The sequence below is a fragment of the Homo sapiens genome, chromosome 17, assembly GCF_000001405.40.
Source record: "Homo sapiens chromosome 17, GRCh38.p14 Primary Assembly".
NCBI classification, from domain to species: domain Eukaryota; kingdom Metazoa; phylum Chordata; class Mammalia; order Primates; family Hominidae; genus Homo; species Homo sapiens.
In genome coordinates this window covers 42,258,187-42,283,740 of record NC_000017.11, presented here as the reverse complement: position 1 = coordinate 42,283,740, position 25,554 = coordinate 42,258,187, and the positions used below count along the sequence as shown (strand labels likewise).

Genomic DNA, 25,554 nt, shown 5'->3' with positions numbered 1-25,554 from the left:
TGCACAGGGTGAGGACTTCTGTGCAAATCTGGGGGAAGGGAAGGAGCTGCCGGAGCTTGGGTGAAGCCCGTTCCTGCCGCTGTCCCCTATCCACCACTCTTCAGGGAAGTCACTTTACAGTGAAGTCACCAAGAGAACACAAGGCCATCCTGCCTGAGGCATAGTGACTGTCCTCTGTTTCTGGGAATAGCATGAGGGGAAGGGTGTGGGGCTGGACAGGGTGGGTAGGAGAGGAGTCCTGCTTCCTCTGCCCAGCTGCCCAGCCTGCCTGCCCTGGGGGAGAGGCTTGTAGGCCGGTTTCTTTCTGGACGAAGAGAAGAGGATGCAGAGTCTGTGCCAGGTTCACATTTCCCAGCCAGTCAGGTGGGCAGGAGGAGCCCACCCTTTGCAGCCCCCTCATTGCAGGGCCAGGCCCAGGAGCCTGGAGAGAGGAGAGAGGGCACACAGAGCCAGGCAGCTGAGTGGAATTGGCACTGTCCTGGGCAGCCCTGGGTCAAGCCTGGCTTCTCATCCTCATCCATGATGACTATCAGGCCGCTCTTCCCGCTGAGCTAGTTTCTCCTCCTTCCAGCCCAACAAGAAATCTTTTGTGCCTTGGCCAGCCCAGTACCCAACCTCAAGCCCTCTGGGGGTTGTGTGCGAGGGGGCTGAGCATCTTCCACGACACCTCCCAGTACTCTGCCACTTTCCTTTGTTATGACTGGAGGGGGTTCCTTTCTGTAGAATCTGTTTCTCATTGTTTCTTCGTTTCTTAAGTCTCAGATCTACCCACATCTTCCTTGCTCCAAGCCTCAAAAAAGTGCTTCGGCCAGGCTTTTCCCCTTACGCTGGCCTCTCAACTCCAAGCACTAGCCCCTTTCATTCCATCTACCTGGAATGTCATTCCTCCCTTGGCCACCTGGTGAAATTGGCCTCATCTTTCCTAGGGTTAGTGTGGCCTAGAGGAAAACACAAAGGCTTTGGAGTCATAAGGTCCTGGTGCAGACCCTGGCTCTGCTGTAGGATCTTGAGTGAGTGAGTCTGCCTCTTGGATCTAAGCATCCTCACTTGTAAAGAAATAGCAAGACCCACTGCTGGGATTTCTGTTAAGACCCAGTCACAGGCCCGGTGCGGTGGCTCAAGCCTGTAATCCTAGCACTTTGGGAGGCTGAGGCAGGTGGATCACCTGAGGTCAGGAGTTTGAGGCCAGCCTGACCAAGCCAGCACAGACTCAGCATGGTGAAACCTTGTCTCTATTAAAAATAAAAAAATTAGCCAGGTGTGGTGGCAGATGCCTGTAATCCCAGCTATTTGGGAGGCTGAGGCAGGAGAATCACTTGAACCTGGGAGGCAGAGGTGGCAGTGAGATGAGATCACACCACTGCACTCCAGCCTGGGTGACAGAGCGAGACTCTGTCTAAAAAAAAAAGACTCAGTCACAGTGGCTGGTGCATTGTAGGTGCTCAGAGGCCTTGGCCAGTAGAGCTGGGTGTTTTTTCCTCTGCCCTTCAATCCCATCTGTATTACAGGCCCCTTCTTATGGCCCTAACACATTGCCTAAAGGGCTATGTCCCACTGCTTGTCCACAATAGAGTCTTCATAAATATCTGTTGGATTAATGAAGGCCCCTAAACCAGCACAGAACTTCCGGAGCTTTGACGGTTCAGGGCAGCCCCCTGTTCACTGACCACCCCCACCATGGTTCCCAGAAGACTCTCCCCCTGCTGCCCTGGCCTCTGCCTGCTCTGGTCCCACTGAGCTGCTTTTCTACACACAGTGGCAGCAGCAGCCTCATCTTTGCCTGGTGCTGGGCTGAATTTTGAGTTCTTAACCTGCCTGGCAAGCCAGCAAGATACTGGCTGCAGTGGCACTCTGCTCCCTCCTCTGCGTCCGCCCCACCCTCCCTGGATAATGCTGCATCCCCCAGGACTCTGGGTGGAGAGAGCCCAGTGACCCTGTCCCAAGAGGCGGGGTCGGGGGATCCTTGGCCTTTCCAGAGAGCCCACCCTTTAGCCTTTAGCTCTGGCTGGAAGGGAGCCCAGATTGGTGAGGCACACAGGAGCAAGACTGAGAGCAGGTGTGTGAGACTCTCCAGGTGGCGAGTCCTCCATGCACCTGCACATCCATCGCTCCCGTCCTCTCCCCTCCCCTCCATGTGACAAAGCACCAGCTCTCTCCTGGCCAGCACACTGGCTGGGATTAGGCTGAGGGAAAGAAAGAGAGAAAATGCTTTTTTATCAAGTGCCAGGCACAGTGCTTAGTTGCCTTCACAAATGCTCTCCTTTTTCCTTTAAAAAAACTGTCTATTTTACTAATGTTTTAATAGGGAGCATCTGCACATGATATATGTATTTTGTAACAAAAGATTCAAAAGGGTATGTGGTGAAAAGTTAGTCTCTGCCCTTTCCTGTCCCCCAGGGCCCTTCTGGAGGGGCAACAACAGTTGCTGGGGTCTTTTGTGCATTTAAATGCACGGAAGGATTCTGTGGATTTGAAACATATATTACACTCTACCCCCTAACTATGATTTACACGTGATGGGAAACTGAGATCCTCAGAGACATTAAGTACCTAGACCAAAGTCACACAGCTAGTTTTTTTTTGTTTTTGTTTTTGTTTTTTTTTTTTGAGACGGAATCTCGCTCTGTCGCCCAGGCTGGAGTGCAGTGGCGCGATCTCTGCTCACTGCAACCTCAGCCTCCCGGGTTCACGCCATTCTCCTGGCTCAGCCTCCGGAGTAGCTGGGACTACAGGCGCCCGCCACCACGCCCGGCTAATTTTTGGTATTTTTAGTAGAGTCAGGGTTTCACCGTGTTAGCCAGGATGGTCTCGATCGCCTGACCTCCTGACCCACCCGCCTCGGCCTCCCAAAGTGCTGGGATTACAGGTGTGAGCCACCGCGCCCGGCCAACAGCTAGTAAGTTAGCAGAGCTGGGATTTAGAACCATATCTAACTTTTCACCACCAATGCTCTGGCAGAAGTAAGCAGGGGCACTGACAGAGCCCTCCGAAACTGCAGAGCCCATTCCAAACCGAGGCCACGCCATTCTGAGGCCTTGGAGATCTGGCATCCCCGCCTTCTTTTCTGTTGAGCATCCTATACCTTCTCCACATGGCTCCAGGGTCCTGTACTGACCTATCCCCCTATGGAAGGATTCATCCCCACAGGGAAAAAGGGACATTCCCACAGTGCCCTTTCTTAGCAAATGTGTGGCCGGTGGTTGCCCAGGGTCAGCCTGACTCCTGGGATGCAGGAGGGAAGCCATAATAACGAAGGCCTCTGGTTTCTGGCCAGAGGGGATCATGGTTGTGGCTTCAGTGACGTTCCCAGAAAATGGCCTCATGATCTCTGGGGCAGGAGTGAGGGAGGATGTGAAGCAGGGAAGCTGCCCCCTCTGAAAGCCATGTGTTCATCTATGAGAGAGAGAGGGGAGGAGGCTGTAGGATGGGAGCAGGGGCATGCATGGACAAGGGCTGTGGACTAGACCCCCAGGCTCTTCCCCCAAGCCTCTCTCCTGGGTCAGGCTGGTGCACTAAGGGATGAGACCCTCCAGTGGACATTGCTGCATCTCCAGGTACCTTCTTGGGTCATTCCTGATGGGTTGGACTGTGGGGTCTTTCAGGATCCTAGCTTCCTGTTCAGTTTCTTTCTTTCTGTCATGTCTTAAGTCTGGTGTCCCCTCAATTTAAGGGAATATGTCCCCGAGGCCTAGAAGAAGAGGGTCCCACCCCATCAGAACTGTCAAGCAGAGAAGCAGGTGTCAGGCCTTCCCATCCCAGGATGACAACATTCTGTTTTGCTGAGGTAGTGACCCAGAACATTCTGTCCTCAGCATCTGTGCACACACCCAGCCAGGTCTAGCTTGGTGCCTGGTGACCATCAGTCAGAGATGTGCCTAGAGCTGCAAGAATCAAGAGGCATTCCCACCCACCCTTCAGGACATTTTTTTTTTTTTTTCTGAGATGGAGTTTTGCTCTTGCTGCCCAGGCTGGAGTGCAATGGTGTGATTTTGGCTCACCGCAACCTCCGCCTCCCAGTTTCAAGTGATTCTCCTGCCTCAGCCTCCCAAGTAGCTGGGATTACAGGCATGTAATCCTGTAATGGCACCACCATGCCCAGCTAATTTTGTATTTTTAGTAAAGACGAGGTTTCTCCACGTTGGTTAGGCTGGTCTCGAACTCCCGATCTCGGGTGATCCACCCGCCTCGGCCTCCTAAAGTGCTGGGATTACAGGCGTGAGCCACTGCGCCCGGCCCCCTTCAGGACATTTAAACTAGCGCCCTGTGGCTGCCACAAACCAGCTGGCTTGAGTCCTAGACCGCCGGTCTTGGGAAGAGGAGTATTCATCTTAGCTGCTACTAAACACCACAGTAGTAGTTAACCGCTATACAGTGCTTTACAGTGAAGCACTTTACATGTAGTAAACACTTATTTCCCGCAACCCGATGAGGTAGGTACTGTCTCTATCACCACATTACAAACGAGAAGATAGAGGAAAACACACTCAAGATTACCCAGCTCAAGGAATTGACAGAGTCTGGTTTGAGAACCTGTACTTTTTTTTTTTTTTCTTTTTTTGAGACAGGTCTCACTCTGTCGCCCAGGCTGGAGAGCAGTGGCACAATCATGGCTCACTACAGCTTCAGGCTGGGCACAGTGGCTCACAAATGTAATTCCAGCACTTTGGGAGGCTGAGGAGGGAGGGTTGCTTGAGCCATAAGTTCTTGAACAGCCCAGGCAATATAATGAGACCCTGTCTTTACAAATATTTTTTTTTTTTTGAGATGGAGTCTCACTCTGTCGCCCCAGGCTGGAGTGCAGTTTCGTGATCTCGGCTCACTGCAACCTCTGCCTCTCGGGTTCAAGCAATTCTCCTGCCTCAGCCTCCCCAGTAGCTGGGACTACAGGCGCGCACCACCACGTCCAGCTAATTTTTGTATTTTTAGTAGAGACAGGGTTTCAACATATTGGCCAGGCTGGTCTGGAACACCTGACCTCGTGATCCACCGACCTTGGCTTCCCAAAGTGCTGGGACTACAGGCGTGAGCCACCGTGCCCGGCCTACAAATAATTTTAAAAAATTAATCTGGGAGTAGTGGTGCACGTCTGTGGTCCCAGTTACTCATAAGGCTGAGGCAGGAGGATTGCTTGAGCCCAGGAGGTTGCCTTGAGCTGTGATTGTGCCACCACACCATGAGACCTTTTTCTGTGAGACTGTCTCCAAAAAATAAAAATAAAAAAAAATCATCACACCCTTGACCTCCCAGGCTCAAGTGATCCTCCCACCTTAGCCTCCTCAGTAGCTGGGACCACAGGTGTGTGTCGCCACACCGGGCTAGACCCTGTCCTCTTAATGACTGCATAGTCCTTGTAACCTCCATTTGCATTCCTAGAGCATAGCATTTGTTCCAAAAATATTTATTGAGTGTCTGTTCTGGGCTTGAACACGAGTAGGAGGATTTAAAAGTGAATAGCATATTGCGTCTGCCCTTGGGGACAGAGACAGAAACATGAAAACATGAAATTGTCCTTCAACACAAGAAGTGCTGTAATAGAGGCATGAATAACGCGGTGGGAAACAAGGAGGGAGGTCATGCTGCCTGAAGCAAATGTCACCGAAGGGCAGACATCAAGAAGGCAGGACATTCCAGGCAGAGGGAATAGCATGTGTGCAGGGATGAAAGCTCACAAGAAAGAGAAACATGAGTCAGGTGCGGTGGCTGATGCCTGTAATCCCAGCACTTTGGGAGGCTGAGGCGGGCAGATTACGAGGTCAGGAGTTCGAGACCAGCCTGGCCAACATGGTGAAACCCCGTCTCTACTACAAAAATACAAAAATTAGCCGGATGTGGTGGTGTGCGCCTGTAATCCCAGCTACTCAGGAGGCTGAGGAAGGAGAATCACTTGAACCCAGGAGGTGGAGGTTGCCGTGAGCTGAGACCGCACCATTTCACTCCAGCCTGGGCAACAGAGAGAGACTCCGTCTCAAAAAAAAAAAAAAAGAAAAGAAAAAGAAAAGATAAAAGAGAAATATGGAGAACATGGAGCACCTGAGTGTCAAAACATCATGGGCAGTAACTGTCAGGGAGATTGCCAGAGAGCTCGGGGTTGGTTGGCGCATCCATCCTGCTTCCTGCTTCCTTCTCTGGCCTCCAAGCTCCCTGAACCTACTCTGTGCAAAGCACTGTGCCAGGTGTTGGCCCAGAGTATGGGACTGCAGCAGTGGCCTGGGTAGCGGAGAAGGGTTTTTTGACCAGCTGGAGACCTTTGTGGCTGGTGTCATTCTGGAGGTGAAGAGAAGGCCGCTGGAAAGAGCTGCCCAGGGAGGACTATGGGAGAACTTGCAGCTCTGGGCCATCTCTGGACATGAACGTTTTGCATACACACAGGGGAGCTCTGTGTGTCTGAGTGGGGGCGGGAGGGGTCCTTCTCTCTCTTTTGGCCCCTGCAGCTTGGCTTCTGGAGCTTTCCTATGTCTTGCTTTAGTGCTAGCCCTTGGAGGGTTGCCAGGGAAACCGCTGGCCAGCTCCGGGAGATAGACGTAGCAGAGGAAAGGAGAGTGGGTGACTCAGCCTGGCTTCCCACAACCGCAACCCCCTCCTCAGCACGTGGAAAGGATCTGGGGGACCCCCTTCCCCTGGATCCTACAGATGACCCTGTTTATTCTTTCTTCTCTAGAGAGAGCAGTCCCTCCCGCAGCTCTGACTGGTGGGAGCCAGCCAGATTTTCCCAGGAAGGGAACCGGCCCCAGGCGCCCCGTCCCCCGTAGGTTCACCCTGGAACTCGGACAGGTGAATTCGGCCTGGGCGAATGTGAATTCCTGCCGTGCCCATGCAGGCGGCAGGAGCCCTGGCTGAGACGCCCTCCCGGGGGCAAACCCAGGATAATTATTGATCGGGGCCCCTGTGGACTTCTGACCTCGGCCTCGGCGGGAGAGGACCCGGAACGCGGGCCTGGGCTCCCAGGGAGAGAGGTGGGCGGGCCGCGGAGGGGGCCAACCAAAACGACCACGACAGTGCGCCCTAGCCCTGCTAGTGGTGGTCGACCCAACCCAAACAAAGCAGCATGTGCTTGCGGTGCGGCGTCGGCTAGGGAGCCGAGCCGGGAAGACACCCCACCGCCGCAGAAAGGGGGTGCGCGCGGCGCCGGCACCGGCACCGCCGAGCGCGCCGCCACCTCGGGTGTGCCGAGGGGGTCCGGGTCCTTCAAGGGCGGTCGCGGAGGGGGCGCGAGGGACAGCGGGCTAGCGAGCGCGCGCCGGGCGGAACCAGGAAGCGGGGCGCGCTCCGGGTTGCCAGCGGCGCGCGTCCCTGGGCCTCCGCGCGTGAGCGGCGCGCGCGCCCCCGCGGGCCCCGGCGGGAGGAGAGTCGGCGGCCGGAGCCGTCACCCCGGGCGGGGACCCAGCGCAGGCAACTCCGCGCGGCGGCCCGGCCGAGGGAGGGAGCGAGCGGGCGGGCGGGCAAGCCAGACAGCTGGGCCGGAGCAGCCGCGGGCGCCCGAGGGGCCGAGCGAGGTAGGAGCTGCGGGGCGAGCCCTGGGCCCGGGGCCGGGGGAGCCAGGCCGGGGAGCCAGCCCGGGCGGGGCCCGCGCTCCAGCCGCTCAGCCGCCCGTCAGGGCCGCGCCGCCGCCATCACTCCCGGGCCGCGGTGGTTGCGCGCTGGGCGAGGGGCGCGCGCGGGGAGAGGGGGTCCGGGTTGGCTGCCGGGGAGGCTGAGGGCAATGCGGGGTGCGCGAGGGGGACTTGCGAACGCCGCGGCGCCGCGGGGGGCGTGCGCTTTAAAGGCTGCGTGCGCGTGTGCTGAGTGGGTGTGTGGGGACCCCGCGCCGACCCCATAGGAGCTCAGGGGGCTGCTGTCAGCCGCCTCACACCTTCACGTTGCAATTCCGAATATCCCCAGCCGTCTTCCTTGCTTTAACTTCTTTCTTTCAAAAGAGGTTCCCGGGACTCCGGGGATGGGATGAGCCTGCGGGGGTGCCTGGTGCGGTGGGGGGTATTAGCAAAGCTTCAAGAAACAGGGCCTTATAAGGAATCAAGACAACAAATACGAACGTTTCGATAAGACTCTGGGGGGCGGGATCCCACATCAGGACCCGCCAGGCCTGGGCTCGTGCGTGTGGCCGTGGGATGCAGTGTGCTTTTTCTTTCTAGTCAGGGATAAAGGGTTAAAAGTGCTCCTGGTGTCGGGGGGTAGATATGGAGAGTCGGAAGGGGAGTTGTATCACAAAAGCTGGTCTGAGGCTAAAGGAATCTGGCAAGATGGTCGGGGTGAACAAAGAGGAAAGAACTCACACGGAGCAAGAGGCGGTTGCAAACACTTGTAGCCAGCAGTGATGGAAAAGCCAAAGAAGAAAACCAAGTGTCAGCTTTTAGAAAGACGGGATTAATGAAAAGCACAAGAATTTTAAAGACTAAAAGAGATACCGATTCTCTCTTTGCCAAAGAGCCAGAGTCAGTTCTTTTCTTCTTGGTCCCTGTGATCCCGCCATACCTCGTATCAAATAAATAGTGCCAAAAGTGGGTCAAAGAATGTTAGAGCTGGAAAGGAACCCAGCGATGATGCCATTCTTTTATTGTACAAATGAGGAAACTGAGGCCCAGATAGGTGGAGTAAGTGGCCTGCTCAGGTGACACGGCTGTTTGTTGAGTATCCAGGGATTGAAACTTCAAGGACTCTGAGATTCGTGCTCTTCCCAAAGCATCGTGCAGTATACAGATCTTTGCCTAGATACAATTCCATACATTTTCTCTGCAGTGTCCTCAGGGAATGCCCTTTGAAAGGGCCAGCGTGACACTGAATATCATACTTGGGCTTATGTCATTTTTTTCAGTCTTCAAGTGGTGTTTATGGTCTGCTTGGATCTTAGGTTTCCAAAGCTGTTGGATAGCCGCCTGGGCCATAATAAGCTTTCAGCTGTTGGGTCTACATTATTTCAAATAATTTTGTTATCTTTCAATTAAGGTAATAGAACTGTGCCTCTCTCCCCAACATTCTATTGTTGTCCATTTGCTTATGTTATATTGCGTTATGTTCATTGCCTGTGAGTTCCTAGGTGAGGATGTATTTTATTGAGTGTGCCTTTCATGTTTTAAAATTTCATTTTGTAACACTGTAAATATTGGAGTGGTTCTGATCACTTCAAATGGGGAGAATCTTATTGATTGATTTTATTTTAAGGCTTTGGGTTGTTTTGTTTATTCATTTGGGTACCAGTTTCCATCTCATGGAAGATCACAGTTGTTAGAATGGACATGGCTAAATAAGAGAAGGGGCTGCTGATTTTAAGAAAAACTTCCTATGTGACAATTTGTGGTATCTGTTACGTTTAATTCAAACAAGTCCACACCTTGGGTCAGGTAAGCGCGTTATCTAGGAGATGACTTGTTTGCTACTGTAGCCTCTGGAAGATGAAATTTCAAGCTCCAGATTGAGACACAGGGAAGGAATGGAGAGGTTTTTTTTTTTTTTTTTTTTTTTTTTGTAAAGCAAACCATCAGAAAAAAAAAGTTGATTTCTATCACCAGTAGTTTGGTTATTGCATAACTTGAAGCTAAACTCTGCACAAAATAATCTTTGCTATATACCCAACTAGGTAAACTATCCCACCTTCTCATCAGTTCTCACCTTTTCGGTGCTTGTATTTTTTGCCCACGGGATATTAATATGGATTGTGTTCAGAAATTTAAGGTGTGTACTTCATAGTATGTATGATTGTAGGAGAAAAATGTGCTATCATCGTTTGGAGTGTTACAACATAAATATTTTGGTCAACACTTCCTATCCTGCTCTGACTTTTCATCTCATCTCCATTTTCTTCCTCTCTTGATTGTTTTTATGTCATTTACATATGTAAAAGCCACATCAAGACTAAAGTTGCCATTTATTACTTTTTGATACTTAAGTCGAGTTTTTTCAAATCATAGTATTGTTAGTATTCAAATTGTCTGTAATTTTTGTTAGGCTTATATATTATGAATCCATTTGTTGTGGTTTATTTGGCTTGTTGTTATGTAGGTAGGTGACACAGGTAGTCTTATTGTAAAAGGAAGACGTTATAGATAGGTAAATAACATGCTCAAGATTAGATGCAGGTTACAGGTGGAATCGAAGGAAGCCTAACTATTTTCGTGCCCTACAAAAATGTCTGTATCTCATAAAGTTATTCACAGATTTCTGGACATTCTATCTGTGACACATTTTTTCCCTTTCTGTTAAGAGTGCAGATTACTGCATTATTCCTACAAAAGGAAGCAAAATAACCCTAGTTTGTATGATTTTTCTGATAATTTGAAACTTATTCGTTTAAAAAGCTATCTGGCAATTCCAGGTTACTGGACTCTTGAGAAGAATATCCTTTTATTTTGATACTATAAAATATCAAAGTATCAAAATACTTTAACTGTGCAACTTAATAAAAATAATGCTTCAAAGTTAGCTCTGCACTATCGCTGTCCTCAAATGTGTGGTATTTAAAGGAAGAAAATGTTTTTAATTCTGAGCTTTGTGAATAGAACTCTTCTAAAATCAGAAGTTTTTTTTTTTCTCCTGCAGTGTTGGAAACACAACAGTTTTATGCTTATTTCTGGGAATAAGAAAGTCAAACTTAACAATCTAGTTTCCATTGATCAGACAGTTTTTGTACTTAAATTTAAGTTCTAAGCATCAGAGTGATAAATACTTTTTAAAATTGTATTCACTGTTAATTATAGTGGCCTTATTTGAAGTAAAATCTTGACATTGGGTGTTTTATTAATGATGATCCTCTGCTACTGAAAAGCCTATGTCAGTTTGGAGAAGATTTTGCACATCTAAATCTATGCTGTTTTTACTAATCAAAAGAGAAGAGCAATTTACAGGTGTTAGATTTTTAGTTGGTTGAATGAGACCCTCACTTTTGATGGTTTCAGAGTTGAAGTGACGTTTTATTACTTTTGTTAGTTTGGGTCACACCCATCACTTCCTTGGAAGGTATCTTTGAGGTTTGGTTTCCTTTTTTTTTAAATGGTAATATTGGGGTGGGGGTGCTTCCTGTTTGTATTTTCAAAATTAGGTCCACATGTTAACCTTCTTGTAGTGTCACATTTTTATTTTAAACTTATACAGACAAACATCAGATGCCATGTGGTTTGTCTCTGACCCTTTGCGCTACTTCATGACAGCTTTACTGAGTGAAGCCTGAATACCCAATCGGGAAGGCAAGATGTTCTTGTCTTTTCCCAACTCTCTTCAAAGTTTAACAGCCTTGGAAGGAGTCTTAGAACAGCAACAAAAGCACAATTTACAGAAAAATGGAGGTGCTGCTATCTGTTTCCTCGCAGGTACTTGGAAAATGTATAGCACTAAGATAGAGTTGAAACATGTTATGTAGAGCCTTGAATGTCGGTGCTTCAAAGAGGAGTTGCTCTGGGTTTACATGATACAGAACCCCATGGTTTATATTAAGTAGTAATGATAGCCGTTTTTCTGGACTCGCTTAAAAGCCATACACAGTGTCATGGAAAAGAGTTAAGAACAAGGTGAAATTCAGGGTATGGTATTAGAGCTCAGGAGGAATCACCTTCAGCCTTAAAACTCTTCCTTTACTCTCCTGGATCACTTAAGTGATAGGTCACTTTTAATATAAATGTTGCAGGATGAGTTAAGTGGAGCCTTGAGAAATATGTGTAGATTGTTTCAGTGATTAAAGCAAGTGTTCTTTTCCTGGCCTTTAACTCGCTTTATGCTAAGAAGTGTAATAACTAAATAGACTCCTAATTGAATTGACATTCAGATGTGTTTGCAGTTTAGGGGGAGTTTACCTCTTCTAAATTTTCATTTGGATCCCATTACTAAAAGCAGTATTGCATTAGCATGGTGCACAATTATGTACAATTCAATTTGCAAATGAAGTTAATACTTGGAGTATCTTGACTTCCTATTCCCCTGCTGCCCCAATATTCAAGAAAGGAGAAGTTATAATTTGTCACATACAAGATGGTTTCTTCTTTAGGTTTATTCTTAATAACTATGTCCATTTTCACATGGATGACACCACTGAGATGATGAATACCTGTATTGATTGATTGATGAAGAACATTTATCTTTTTCTACCTACTTTTGGAAGCTAGCTTGCAAAATCTACTGCAACATTCACTCTTCATGTATCCTTCTATTACCTTTGGTACCCTGAATAACCTTTTAAAAATTTTTGTACTTTTCTAATATGAAGAGAAGTAGCTTCATATTCTATGCTAGTTTTCTGAGGTGCTTGTGCTGACTCATTTTTTAAATTATACTAAGATATAGAGCATGGTTTGAGAGCAGTAATGAGATTCTCAGAAAATATGAAAACTTTCCTTTCTGACTAGTTAGAGAAAGGTTGGGGAAGACAAGGGGAAATACATCAATGAGCCAATCAATTATTGTTATTTGTTGGGATTAATTTGGTGACTAATATTTTTAATGCCCATCAGGCTACTAAATGTGAATTTGGCTTTACCCTGTAATGATAACAGGACAAACCCAACGGGTTTCTAACATTGCTTGTTTTCCCCTGGTAGGGGATTTCTTTGCATATGGGAAATCAGGCCGAAGTTGCCAGTAACAGCCACATCCATGATTTGTATTAAAAATAACTATTCATCATTCTGGGCTAGAGCTCTGCTTACCATGGCTCACCTGGGAAGATATTCTGATTATGTATCTAATCATTATGATGCCACCTTTCGAGAGGTGAGCAGACAATTAACAAGTCCTTCAAATTATGTTCAAAACCCAGAGTTTGAGAAAATGTTCCAACGCCTTCAAGTGTGAAGATAATAAAAACATTACCTAATGCTTACCGTTCACTGACAGTGTGCTGGGCAGACATTGTTTTCAGCTCTGGCCTTGTGTTAACTCGTGATTCTCAGAGGAGTGGGTATTATTCCCAGATGGAAGATGAAGAAATGGCCACAGAGAAGTTAAGTAATTTGTCCAAGGTCACATTACTGTTCTTGGCGGGGCTGATTCCAGAGACTGCATCCCTAACTAGTGTACAGCAAAAGCGAGCTGGCCACTGCCACTTTGTTATAAGACATTTTGTTTCTTTGAGGCTTGTATTTCTTTGTGTTCCCAAATGGAGTCTCGTTGGTTTTTGAATAGAAAATATTTTTATATGTTTAGGATTTTTTTAAATGTTGATGAAGATGGTGATAAATATTTTTCCAATTAAAGTATATACTTCTGGTGGAAATTATATTAAAGAAGAGAAAGTCTTAATTTTTATTATAAGTTGTCTTTCATTCTTCTTCCCCTAGCATTACCGTGTACATCATAGAAGAAGAGCTATAAGCTGTCTCCTTGGCCTCTGTTTACAAACAAAGGGATCATTTGTGCCAATGTAGTGGGTTTGTGTTGACATGCACGTCTGTACTGAGAACTCAACAATCCCACTCATTTTATTTACAACTTTATTTTGCGGGGATTTCTGTCCTATTCTTGTTGCATTAAAGCTTTTTAGAGCATTAGTCATGATTTCTGAGACAGATTTAAGAATTTTACTTATTTGGGCTAATTTATTATTATTATTTCTTGAGACAGAGCCTCGCTCTGTCACCCAGGCTGGAATGCAGTGGCGCGATCTTGGCTCACTGCAACCTCCGTCTCCTGGGTTCAAGAGATTCTCCTGCCCAGCCTCCGGAGTAGCTAGGACTACAGGCATGTGCCACCATGCCCAGCTAATTTTTGTATTTTTAGTAGAGACGGGGTTTTGACATGTTGGCCAGGCTGGTCTCGAACTCCTGACCTCAGGTGATCCTCCTGCCTTGGCCTTCCGAAGTGCTGGGATTACAGGCATAAGCCACCATGCCCAGCCTATTTGGGCGAATTTTTAAGGCAACTGAACTATTGTATGTCTAGAGCTCTGCAAAGGCCATTAGAAAATAGTCTCAGATTTTTTTTTTTTTTTCATTTATGATGCTTACTTTCTCTCAGCACTTTTCCTTGGGAGTGGATTGTGAAGTTAAGTCTTGGAAACAGAATTCACAACCCTAAAGCGTAGTGCTTTAACTTTGGGAGATCAAGTCACAGACAAGAAGAACTTCAATTCCCTGTGCAGAGTATAAACTTGTTCAAATAAACAGAGGATGTTAGCTTCCAGGATTGTCAACTGTCACCTTTGACCAGGGTTGAATTTTCTTTGAATGTTGACAGAAGTTACAATGTCAGTGGAAAAAGCTTAATGTGAGGTATCTATAACTCAGAATTTCCTTATGTTTGTGTCAGTGAGATCCTACAATTAAAGCTGCTTCTTTTTTTCTATGTCTGATGAGTTTTAAAAGCCTTCACTGGGGTTTTCCAGCCTTTAGGTGAGAGTAAGTTAAAAAGTTTGTGAGAAACTATTTTTTGTTGTCTAAAATTCAGAGCCTAGGTCGGGCCCAGTGGCTCACGCCTGTAATCCTAACAATTTGGGAGGCCGAGGCAAGCGGATCACGTGAGGTCAGGAGTTGGAGACCAGCCTGGCCAACATGGTGAAACCCTGTCTCTACTAAAAATACAAAAATTAGCCAGGTGTGGTGGTGCACGCCTGTAATCCCAGCTACTCAGGAGGCTGAGGCAGAAGAATCACTTGAACCCAGGAGGCAGAGGTTACAGTGAGCCGAGATCGCACTACTGTGCTCCAGCCTGGGAGACGGAGCGAGACTCCATCTCAAAAAAATAAATAAATTAAATAAATTCAGAGCCTATAGCTGGTGGCAAGTCACTGTTTTTGAAGGAGTGGGATTTTAAAAAATCTAACCTGGGCTAAATGTTAAGTTACATTCATACATGTCATTGTAGCCTATATAAAAAGAAACTTGAACACTTGATCTCTTAAAGTACTAAAAATTGGAATTCATCAGCTTTGTAATATAGCATTCATTCTACAGTATATTTAAATAGGTAAAATGTTCTGTTAGAAATAATGCTAATTCTGTTTTTTTGTTTAATGTTTCTAAAAATCTTTTGGTCATCTTTTAGGTTTAGGAAAAGTAGCAAATTAGAGATCTACAGAAATCTACAGCTCTTTAAAAATGAAACAGTTCACCCTGTGAATTTGTTTGCAGGATTGGTGATCTGTTTCTGATGCCAGGAAGGTGGGACTCCTATCTCATTTCTGATAGAAAGTGAGGGAAAGCTATGTATAGTGAGAACTGGATACTAGATTCTTATTCCGAAGGCATGGAAGGTTTAATATGTAAGGATACAATGTAAATAGTCCCTCTTTTTGTATTTTTCTTTGGTTATTGTTACGTAACTATAGTCGTTTGTCACTTAATGATACATGGTGACAAAGTTCTAAGAAATGCATTAGGCGATTTTGTCATTGTGGTACCATCATAGAGGGTACTTACACAAACGTAGATGGTGAGCCCTACTGCACACCTAGGCTGTATGATAAAGCCTATTGCTCCTAGACTACAAACCTGTGGAACATGTATACTGTATTGAGTACTGTAGACAATTGTAACACAAGGGTAAGTATTTGTGTATCTAAACATATCTAAATATAGAAAAGTTACAGTAAAAACATGGCATAAAGGATAAAAAATGGTACATCTATATAGGGTACTTAACAGGAATGGAGCTTGCAGGACTGGAAGTTGCTCTGGGCAACTCAGTGGGTGAATGGTGAGTGAATGTGAAGGCCTAGGACATTACTGTACATTACTGTAGATTTTAAAAATACTGTCTGGTTAGGCTACATTAAATGTATTTTGAAAATTGTTTCTTTCTTCAATAATAACCTTAGCCTACTGTAATACTTTTACTTTGTAAACTTTTTACTTTTTTTTTTTTTTTTTGAGATGGAGTCTTGCTCTTGTGGCCCAGGCTGGAGTGCAGTGGCGTGATCTCGGATCACTGCAACCTCTACCTCCCGGTTCAAGCAATTCTCCTTCCTCAGCCTCCCGAATAGCTGGGATTACAGGCGTGTGCCACCACGCCTGGCTAATTTTTGTATTTTTAGTAGAGACGGGGTTTCACCATGTTGGCCAGGCTGGTCTCAAACTTCTGACCTCAGGTGATCCACCCACTTTGACCTCCCAAAGTGCTCGGATTATAGGTGTGAGCCGCCGTGCCCGGCCAACTGTTTACTTTTTTACACTTTTAAACTCTTTTGTAGTAACACTTAGCTTAACACATAAACATGTACAGCTGTGCAACAATATTTTCTTTATGTTTTTATTCTTTTACTTTTTCTCTTTTTAAATAATTTTTAATTTTTCAAAACTTTAAAAACTTTTTAATTTTTCAAAACTTTAAAAACTTTTTCTTAAAAGTGAAGGCATAAACACACACATTAGTCTAGGCCTACACAGGGTCAGGGTCATCAGTATCACTGTCTTGCACCTCCACATCTTGTTCCACTGAAAGGTCTTCAGGGGCAGTAACACATATGGAGCTGTCATCTCTTGTGATAACAATGCCTCCTGAAGGACCTGCCTGAGGCTGTTTTACAGTTAACTTTTTTTTTTAAGTAGAAGGAGTACACTCTAAAATAACGATAAAAAGTATGGTAAATACATAAACCAGTAACATAGGCATTTATTATCATTATCAAGTATGTACTGCACGCAATTGTATGTGCTAGACTTTCACATGACTGGCAGTGCAGTGGGTTTGTTTACACCAGCATTGCCACAAACATGTGAGTCATGCATTGCATTACAACATTATGATGGCTACAGCGTCACTAGAGGATAGGAATTTTTCAGCTACGTTTTATTATCTTATGGGACCACAGTGATATATGTGGTCTGTCATTGACTGAAACGTCATTATGTGGTGCCTGACTACATATATGGAAACTCTGAGTGTAGTCATGTTTTACAAATGAGTTTATCTTGCAGTGAGTTTAAATATCAAGTAAAAATACTAATTTCATTGTAATGTATGAAGAGATTGGCCTTTCTCCTCATGTTGAAGGTATCAAAACAAAATAGAAAATATTTGGCTTCCTGAGTGGCATGGCTACAATTCACATGCTGAGTTGGTGATGAGGCAAGATCCCTTGACTTTGCAATACCAGAAAAATGCACATAGTTAAAAAAAAATAGAGACAGGGGTCTTGCTATGTCTCCAGGTGATCCCTCCCACCTCCACCTCCACACCTCCCACCTCAACCTTCCACAGTATTGGGATTACAGGAATGAGTCACTGCACCGGGCCAAAAAGCATATAATTTTAAGGGAATGATTTTTTTTTTTTTTTTTTTATTTTTTGAGACAGTGTCTTGCTCTGTTGCCCAGGATGAGTGAAGTGTGCCAGGAGTGGGTCCTTAAGTAAGAAAACGTATTACTTTAGACACACATTTAAAATTTTGTCCAAAAATGTGATATTCTCAAAATTTATGGTTTTGAATTTTATTTATTATTTTAATTTATTATTATTATTTTTTAAAGAGTGGGGTCTCACTATGTTGCCCGGGCTGGTCTCAAAGTCCTGAGCTCAAGTGATCCTCCCACCTCAGCCTCCAGAGTAGATGGGACTGCAGGTGTGAGCCCCTGAGCCTGGCTAGTTTTGAATTTTTATTACCCAAATGTGAAGAGGTCTAGTTTGCACAGAACTTAACATTACATTCCAGTTTTATTGGTAAATTTGAACAGGATATAAGTGGCTTTAATAACTAATAAAAGAAGATACATCTTATAGATACACATATGTCTTTTTATATGTATACATAAATATTTAAAACTTCTTTATGCCAAAAAATGCCAGAAACCAAAGCTAAGTGACAAAATAAGAAAAATATTTCTAATATATATGACAAAGCATTATGGGTAAATATTCGTAATATATAAGTAATCTATATAAGTAGTAAGAAAAAGATGATTCCCATAATAGAAAATGAACAAAAGAAGAACTACAAATAGCCGATAATCATATGAAACAGTGTTCACCCATACTGGAAATCAAGAAATGCAAATAAAAATGACAAGTTTTTTCAGTTAACAGATTTATGAAGACTAAAAATATTGAAAAATAAGAGCAGTGTTGCTTGGGAATGTGGGAAACTGGCACTTTCATACTCATTGGTTGAAATGTAAATGGGTGCTTTTTTTGGATGGCAGTTTGATACATGTATTGAGAGCTTAAAAGAGTGCATACTCAAGCTGGGCATGGGAGCTCAGGCCTGTAATCCCAGCACTTTGGGAAGCTAAGGCAGTCGGATCACGAGGTCAGGAGTTCAAGACCATCCCGGCCAACATGGTGAAACCCCGTCTCTACTAAAAATACAAAAATTAGCTGGGCATGGTGGCACGTGCCTGTAATCCCAGCTACTCGGGAGGCTGAGGCAGGGAGTCAGAGGTTGCTGTGAGCCGAGATCACACTACTGCACTCCAGCCTGGTGACAGAGCGAGACTTCGTCTCAAAAAAAAAAAAGAAGAGTACATACCCTTTGACTTAGCAGTTTCATTTAGATGAATTTCATTCTAGGACATCTGAAATATGTTTAAAGATTTGTACAAATAGGCATGGGCAAGGACTTCATGTCTAAAACACCAAAAGCGATGGCAACAAAAGACAAAATTGACAAATGGGATCTAATTAGACTAAAGAGCTTCTGCACAGCAAAAGAAACTACCATCAGAGTGAACAGGCAACCTACAAAATGGGAGAAAATTTTCGCAACCTACTCATCTGACAAAGGGCTAATATCCAGAATCTACAATGAACTCAAACAAATTTACAAGAAAAAAACAAACAACCCCATCAAAAAGTGGGCGAAGGACATGAACAGACACTTCTCAAAAGAAGACATTTATGCAGCCAAAAAACACATGAAAAAATGCTCACCATCACTGGCCATCAGAGAAATGCAAATCAAAACCACAATGAGATACCATCTCACACCAGTTAGAATGGCAATCATTAAAAAGTCAGGAAACAACAGGTGCTGGAGAGGATGTGGAGAAATAGGAACACTTTTACACTGTTGATGGGACTGTAAACTAGTTCAACCATTGTGGAAGTCAGTGTGGCGATTCCTCAGGGATCTAGAACTAGAAATACCATTTGACCCAGCCATCCCATTACTGGGTATATACCCAAAGGACTATAAATCATGCTGCTATAAAGACACATGCACACGTATGTTTATTGCGGCAGTATTCACAATAGCAAAGACTTGGAACCAACCCAGATGTCCAACAACGATAGACTGGATTAAGAAAATGTGGCACATACACACCATGGAATACTATGCAGCCATAAAAAATGATGAGTTCATGTCCTTTGTAGGGACATGGATGAAATTGGAAATCATCATTCTCAGTAAACTATCGCAAGAACAAAAAACCAAACACCACATATTCTCACTCATAGGTGGGAATTGAATAATGGGAACACATGGACACAGGAAGGGGAACATCACACTCTGGGGACTGTTGTGGGGTGGGGGGAGGGGGGAGGGATAGCATTGGGAGATATACCTAATGCCAGATGACGAGTTAGTGGGTGCAGCACACCAGCATGGCACATGTATACGTATGTAACTAACCTGCACAATGTGCACATGTACCCTAAAACTTAAAGTATAATAATAAATAAATTAAAAAAAAAAGATTTGTACAAAAGGAGTGTTACTTAAAATAGCAATAAATTGGAAAAATCTTGGTATTTCCATTAGAGGTTTAATAAACTAAATCATTTATTACACCTGTGTATAGCTGTCCAATAGAATACTGTCCAGCTATTTAAATTATGTTATAAAACAATATTTAATGACCTACACAAAATTCACTATATATTACTAAATGAAAAATGAAATTACAAACAATCATATACAATTGTGCCTGGAAAAAAGAACAGGCGCTGAAAAAAGATTTCTTCTGGGTCGTGGAGTTCCCTGTGTGTGTGTGTGTGTGTGTGTGTGTGTGTGTGTGTGTGCGCGCTTTCTAGTATCTTTCCATTTTTCTATAATAAACAGATTATGGCTGGGCACAGTGACTCATGCCTATATTTCCAGCACTTTGGGAGGCTGAGGTGGGAGGATCACTTGAGTCCAGGAGTTCAAGATCAGCCTGGGCAACATAGCAAGACCCTATCTCTACAAAAAATTAAAAAATTAGCTGGGCCTGGTGGCACATGCCTGTGGTCTCAACTACTTGGGAAGATGAAGTAGGAGGATCACTTGAGCCTGGGAGTTCGAGGCTGCAATGAGCTGTGATTGAGCCACTGCATTCGTCCTGGGTGACAGAGTGAGACCTTGTCTCAAAAACAACAAATAAAAACAAACAAAAAAACAGATGATAATACAGGGAATCCTTTTGTAATCAGGAAAAAAAAGTTATCTTTAAAATGGCTGTGTGTATTGATATGTCTTAGAACGTAGAATTTGTTTTTTGTTATCAGTGTTTTCTTTTTAGAAGCAGAAAAAAGAGTTTGTGATGTTTTTGTTAATTTTTTGGTATAGTATCCTGTTTTTTGACATCTTTTGTTGAACTATGTTAAAATCATCATAATTTCATTTAACATTTTTAGAGTTTAAATAATTTGAACTTCAGGACTGTGTTATTTCCTGTGCTTCGTGGTAGCCTGTATATTTTTACACAGAAGCTTATGGAGAATTATATTGTTATATAATATAATAAATTGTTAGGGAGACAGAGGTGAAAGGATTGCTTGAACCTGGGAAGTGGAGGCTGCAGTGAGCTATAATGGTGCCATTGCACTCCCAAGCCCGGGCAATGGACAGAGACCCTGTCTCTCTTTAAAAAAAAAAAAAAATTGTTTTTGTTTTTTTATATATATATATATATATATATATATATATATATATATATATATACACACACACACACACACACACACACACATATATATACATATATATATACACACATATATATACACATATATATACACACATATATATGTGTATATATACACACACATATATGTGTGTATATACATATATATGTGTGTATATATACACATATATATGTGTGTATATATACACACATATATATGTGTATATATATACATATATGTATATATATACACACATATATATACACACTCTGCTAAGTTATTCATTTCATATTGAAGATGTTTTGAAAAAAATGGTTGAGTTTGTTTTAACCCTGAACTTTGTATTATTTCAATATATTTTCTGCATTGGCTTTTCCCCTTCATGGTGATACCTATGAAGGCTGCTAGGCTATGGATTTCTTTTTCTTATAATTCCATTAGTCACACTTAATGACTTCTCTAAATGTTTATTATGGTACTCATTTGGGAATATCTGGTAAAGGAAATCTCTAGTGAAAGATATTTTCTCTTGGGTATAAGTCATTCCTAATACCAGAGATTTATGTTCTGCCTTAATTAAATTTACATTAAATAGTTTCTTTGTAACTAGAATTAGTGTTTAAAAGAATTTTCCTGCATGGACAACATAGCAAGACCCCATCTCTACGAAAAATAAAAATATTAGCACGGGGTGCTGGTGTATGCCTATAGTCCAGCTACTCAGGAGGCTGAGGTCGGAGGATTGCTTGAGCCTGGGAGGTGGAGGATACAGTGAGCTGTGATCGCTCCACTGTACTCTAGCCTGGGTGACAGAGAAAGACCCTGTCTCAGAATAAAAATAAAAGAATTTTAACACTTGACAGAGTTTAAAGAAGAGGAATGAAAGTAAATTATGAGTTGATACTTTAAGAGAATTTAAATAAAATTACAACCTTAAAAATAGACAATTTTGAGCCCAGTAGACTTACTTATTTCATGTAAAATTTAATTAAGTAAAAATCTATTTTAGGCCAGGTGAGATGACTCACATCTGTAATCCTAGCACTTTGGGAGGCTGAGGGGGAAGGATTGCTTGAGGCCGGGAGTTCGAGACTAGCCTGGACAACGTAATGAGATCCCATCTTTATTTTTATATTAGAAAAAAATCTGGCTGGGCATGGTGGCCCATGCCTTTAATCCCAGCACTTTGGAAGGCTGAGGTGGGCTCATCACTTGAGCCCAGGGGTTCAAAAGTATCCTGGGCAACATGGTGAAACCTCATCTCTATAAAAATACAAAAATTAGCTAGACGTGGTGGTGTGTGCCTGTAGTCCCAGCTACTTGGGAGCCTGAGGTGGGAGGATGGCTTGAGCCCAGGAGGCAGAGGTTACAGTGAGCTGAGATTGCACCACTGCACTCCAGCCTGGGTGACAGAGTGAGACCCTGTCTCAAAAATAAATAAATAAAAATAAAAAATAAAAAATCTATCTTAACTTGGATTGTGCATTGTAATTTATTATAGTGAAATTGCTATAACAGAATTTTATTTTAAGCCAGTTTGGGGAATACCAAAACATTTTTAAAAATCACGTAGTACTTTTTAGTGCTTTTAAAACCTAAATCCATAAAGTAGTTAATTAAAATGCATGAAGTAAATAAGTGTTTTTCTGTATTAAAGATAAAACTATAAACATATATTGTTCAATATGCCTACATAAATAAATCATTCTCTTCTTTTTGGTTATTTTTTGCTTATCACCTCTTACCTCCTCTACTTCCTAAAAACATGATAATCTCGTTTAATTCAAAATTATGTTTTCTGGCCATACATGGTGGATTATGCCTGTAATCCTAACACTTTGGGAGGCTGAGGTGGGCGGACCACTTGAGTCAGGAGGTCGAGACCAGCCTGGCCCGCTTGGTGAGACCCTGTCTCTACTAAAAATACAAAAATTAGCCGGGCGTGGTGGCACATGTCTGTAGTCTCAGGAGGCTGAGGCAGGAGAATCATTTGAACACAGGTGGCAGATGTTGCAGTGAGCTGAGATTGCACCACTGCACTTCAGCCTCGGCGACAAAATGAGACTCTGTCTCAAGAAAAAAAAAAAAAAGGTAAGACATATAAACTAGGAAACTAAGCAATAATTGTGTACAGTATGTGGAATATTTATGTTCTAGACCAGCACTGTTCAATACAAATATAATGTGAGCTCCAATTGTAATTTTCTTAGTCTGTATCACAATAAAAAGTAAAAATAAAATTAATTTTAACAATATACTTTAATATATAAAAATTATCATTTCAACATTTGATCAATATAAAAATTATTGATTAATGAGGTATTTTGGGCCAGTTTGGGGAGCCAAAGCAGGAGGATCACTTGAGTCCAGGAGTTCGAGACCAGCCTGGGCAACATAGTGAGACCCAGTCTCTAACAACAACAACAACAAAATTAGCTAGGCATGGTGATGTGCACCTATAGTCCCAGCTACTTGGGAGGCCAAGGTGGGAGGATCACTTGAGCCGAGGAGGTTAAGGCTGCAGTGAGTCGTGTTCGTGCTACTGCATTCCAGCCTGGGCAACAGAGTGAGACCCTGTCTCAAAAAAAAACAAACGAACCCAAAAGCCCACAAAAACACTGAGATATTTTACATTCCTTTTTTTGTACGAATGCTTCAAAATCTGGTGTGTATCTTACAGTTATAAAATCTCTCAATTTAGCCACCAAATTTTCACCAGAAATGCATGAACTGTGTTCAGATTTCATAAAACTTTCAGTTGATAAAGTAGATTCACATACTGAAGGTGTTCCAAACGTACTGAAAGGTTTTCCAAGTATTAAATTGAACACCAGTTTCCAGGTTTACATTTAAGTTAATTCAAATGAGATAAAATTTGCAATTCAGTTCCCCAGTCGCACTAGCTACATTTCAAGTGCTTAGGTAGCACATGCTGCTAGAGGCTACCATAATAAACAGTGTGGCTATAGGCCTTCTAACGAAGGGAAATGAAATATAGGGCTGTCTCCTGCTTTATAACATCTGGCTTACAATCAACAAATACAAATAGGGTCGCTTGGTGCAGCAAACCACCATGGCACATGTTTACCTGTGTAACAAATCTGCACATCCTGCACATGTATCCTGGAACTTAAAATAAAACAAAACAAATAGGGTCTCTTGCCCTGTGGGAACTGAAGCCACTGCTCTGTAGGAAATAAAAGTGTCTTTCTTTTTTGTTTTTTTTTTGAGACAGAATCTCGCTATTTTGCCGAGTGAAGTGGCATGATCTTGGCTCACTGAAGCCTCCCCCCGACAGGTTCAAGCAATTCTCCTGCCTCAGCCTCCCAAGTAGCTGGGATTACAGGCACCTGCCACCACGCCCGGCTAATTTTTGTATTTTTAGTAGATACGGGGTTTCGCTGTGTTGGCCAGGCTGGTCTCAAACTCCTGACCTCAGGTGATCCACCCACCTTGGCCTTCCAAACTGTTAGGATTACAGGCGTGAGCCACCGCGCCCAGCACAAAAGTGTCTCTTACCTAAAGAAAGTGATGCCCTTAAAGCTTCCTACCATTCCCTCACCCCCAAGACACACCCAGACACCCACAGATGCACCCTCTTGTTTGAAAACTGCTGCATCCTTGCATGGCTGAAGCATTACCCATGTCCTTGAAGCTCCTGCTTTCAGAGGACCTCTCATTTCTTGGGAGTAGAAAAGCCCTCTCTGGCCAGGTGCAGTGGCTCACGCCTGTAATCCCAACACTTTGGGAGGCCAAGGTGGGAGGATCGCTTGAGCCCAAGAGTTTCAAGTCAGCCTGGGCAACATAGTGAGATCCCATCTCTGAAAACAAAATTCTGAATAAAAATAAACAGCCCACCCTGTTTCAGGTATACCTCAACTGTCAAATCACTTTTAGGCAGGGTGTTTTGTTATTTTTGTTTTGTTTCAGAGTGTTGTTTAACTTTATTTTTGAAACTGAATTTGTCTAGAAAAGAATCATATTCACCTTTTGGTCTTAGCTACTCTTCATTTTTATAAAATACATCAAGTTGATGCTTAAAATTGGGGATCTAGTTACAGATGAAATTTTTCCTTTCAAAAGAGAGTTCCCCCCAGTTTTGCTGTAGTCTTAGGAGATACTTAAGGGAGGGGAATCATTTTTAGTTCCCCCTAGGTGAGGTGGTAGCCTCCCTAAACTGCCAAGTTCACACCATGACTGGTAACACCACTGTGTGAGGAATACTGAACAAACGGAGCTTCAGAAGGGAGACTTGCAGAGATTCTGGAATCTAGGTAATGCCACTTCCTACTTAGTTTATCTTAATGGTTTTGTTTGTTTGTTTGTTTTGAGACGGAGTCTCGCTCTGTTTCCCAGGCTGGAGTGCAATGGCGTGATCTCAGATCACTGCAACCTCCGTCTCCCAGGTTCAAGTGATTCTCGTGCCTCAGCCTCCCAGATAGCTGGGATTACAGGCAAGTTCCACCATGCCCAGCTAATTTTTGTATTTTTAGTAGAGACAGGGTTTCACCATGTTCGTCAGGCTGGTCTCAAACTCCTGACCTCAGGTGATCCTTCCGCTTCAGCCTCCCAAAGTGCTGGGATTACAGGCATAAGCTACCGTGCCCAGCCTTAATGGTCTTTTTAAAGGATACCTGATTTCAGAAGGAACCTTTGAAGAAATGGCTAGAACTTCTGTGTTTCTTTGGATATTGCCTGACATCTAAGCCAAATTAGTTGACCTTTTAATGTTAAATAAAATATTCAATAACTTTTACTAATGGGTGGGCTTTAGGAACCCCTTTATTTTACTATGTTGCCAAAAGTAGGTTCATTATAACA

The 25,554-nt window shown here is 43.7% G+C and overlaps 1 protein-coding gene across 6 annotated transcripts in view, besides 1 other annotated feature; it reads left to right on the top strand.

Annotated features, from left to right (window-relative positions):
- The window catches only part of STAT5B (signal transducer and activator of transcription 5B), an 89,194-nt gene that overhangs the window by 4,630 nt on the left and 59,010 nt on the right, over positions 1–25,554 (top strand). For 3 of the 6 annotated variants that reach the window (XM_017024977.2, NM_012448.4, XM_005257626.5), the window contains exon 1: positions 7,350–7,493. The exons of 2 other annotated variants lie outside the window; for them this stretch is intronic. The gene's annotated coding sequence lies outside the window, so the exon portion shown is untranslated. Of the gene's footprint in view, positions 1–7,349; positions 7,494–8,107; positions 15,456–25,554 lie in introns of those variants that run through there. One more of the 6 variants, XM_024450898.2, reaches the window with a different exon arrangement.
- Positions 7,108–7,717: a silencer, noted in NCBI's record as "silent region_8519". NCBI's record gives its function as "represses an Ori minimal core promoter by ATAC-STARR-seq in GM12878 lymphoblastoid cells {active_cell/tissue: GM12878}" and the evidence as "EXISTENCE:reporter gene assay evidence [ECO:0000049][PMID:35858748]".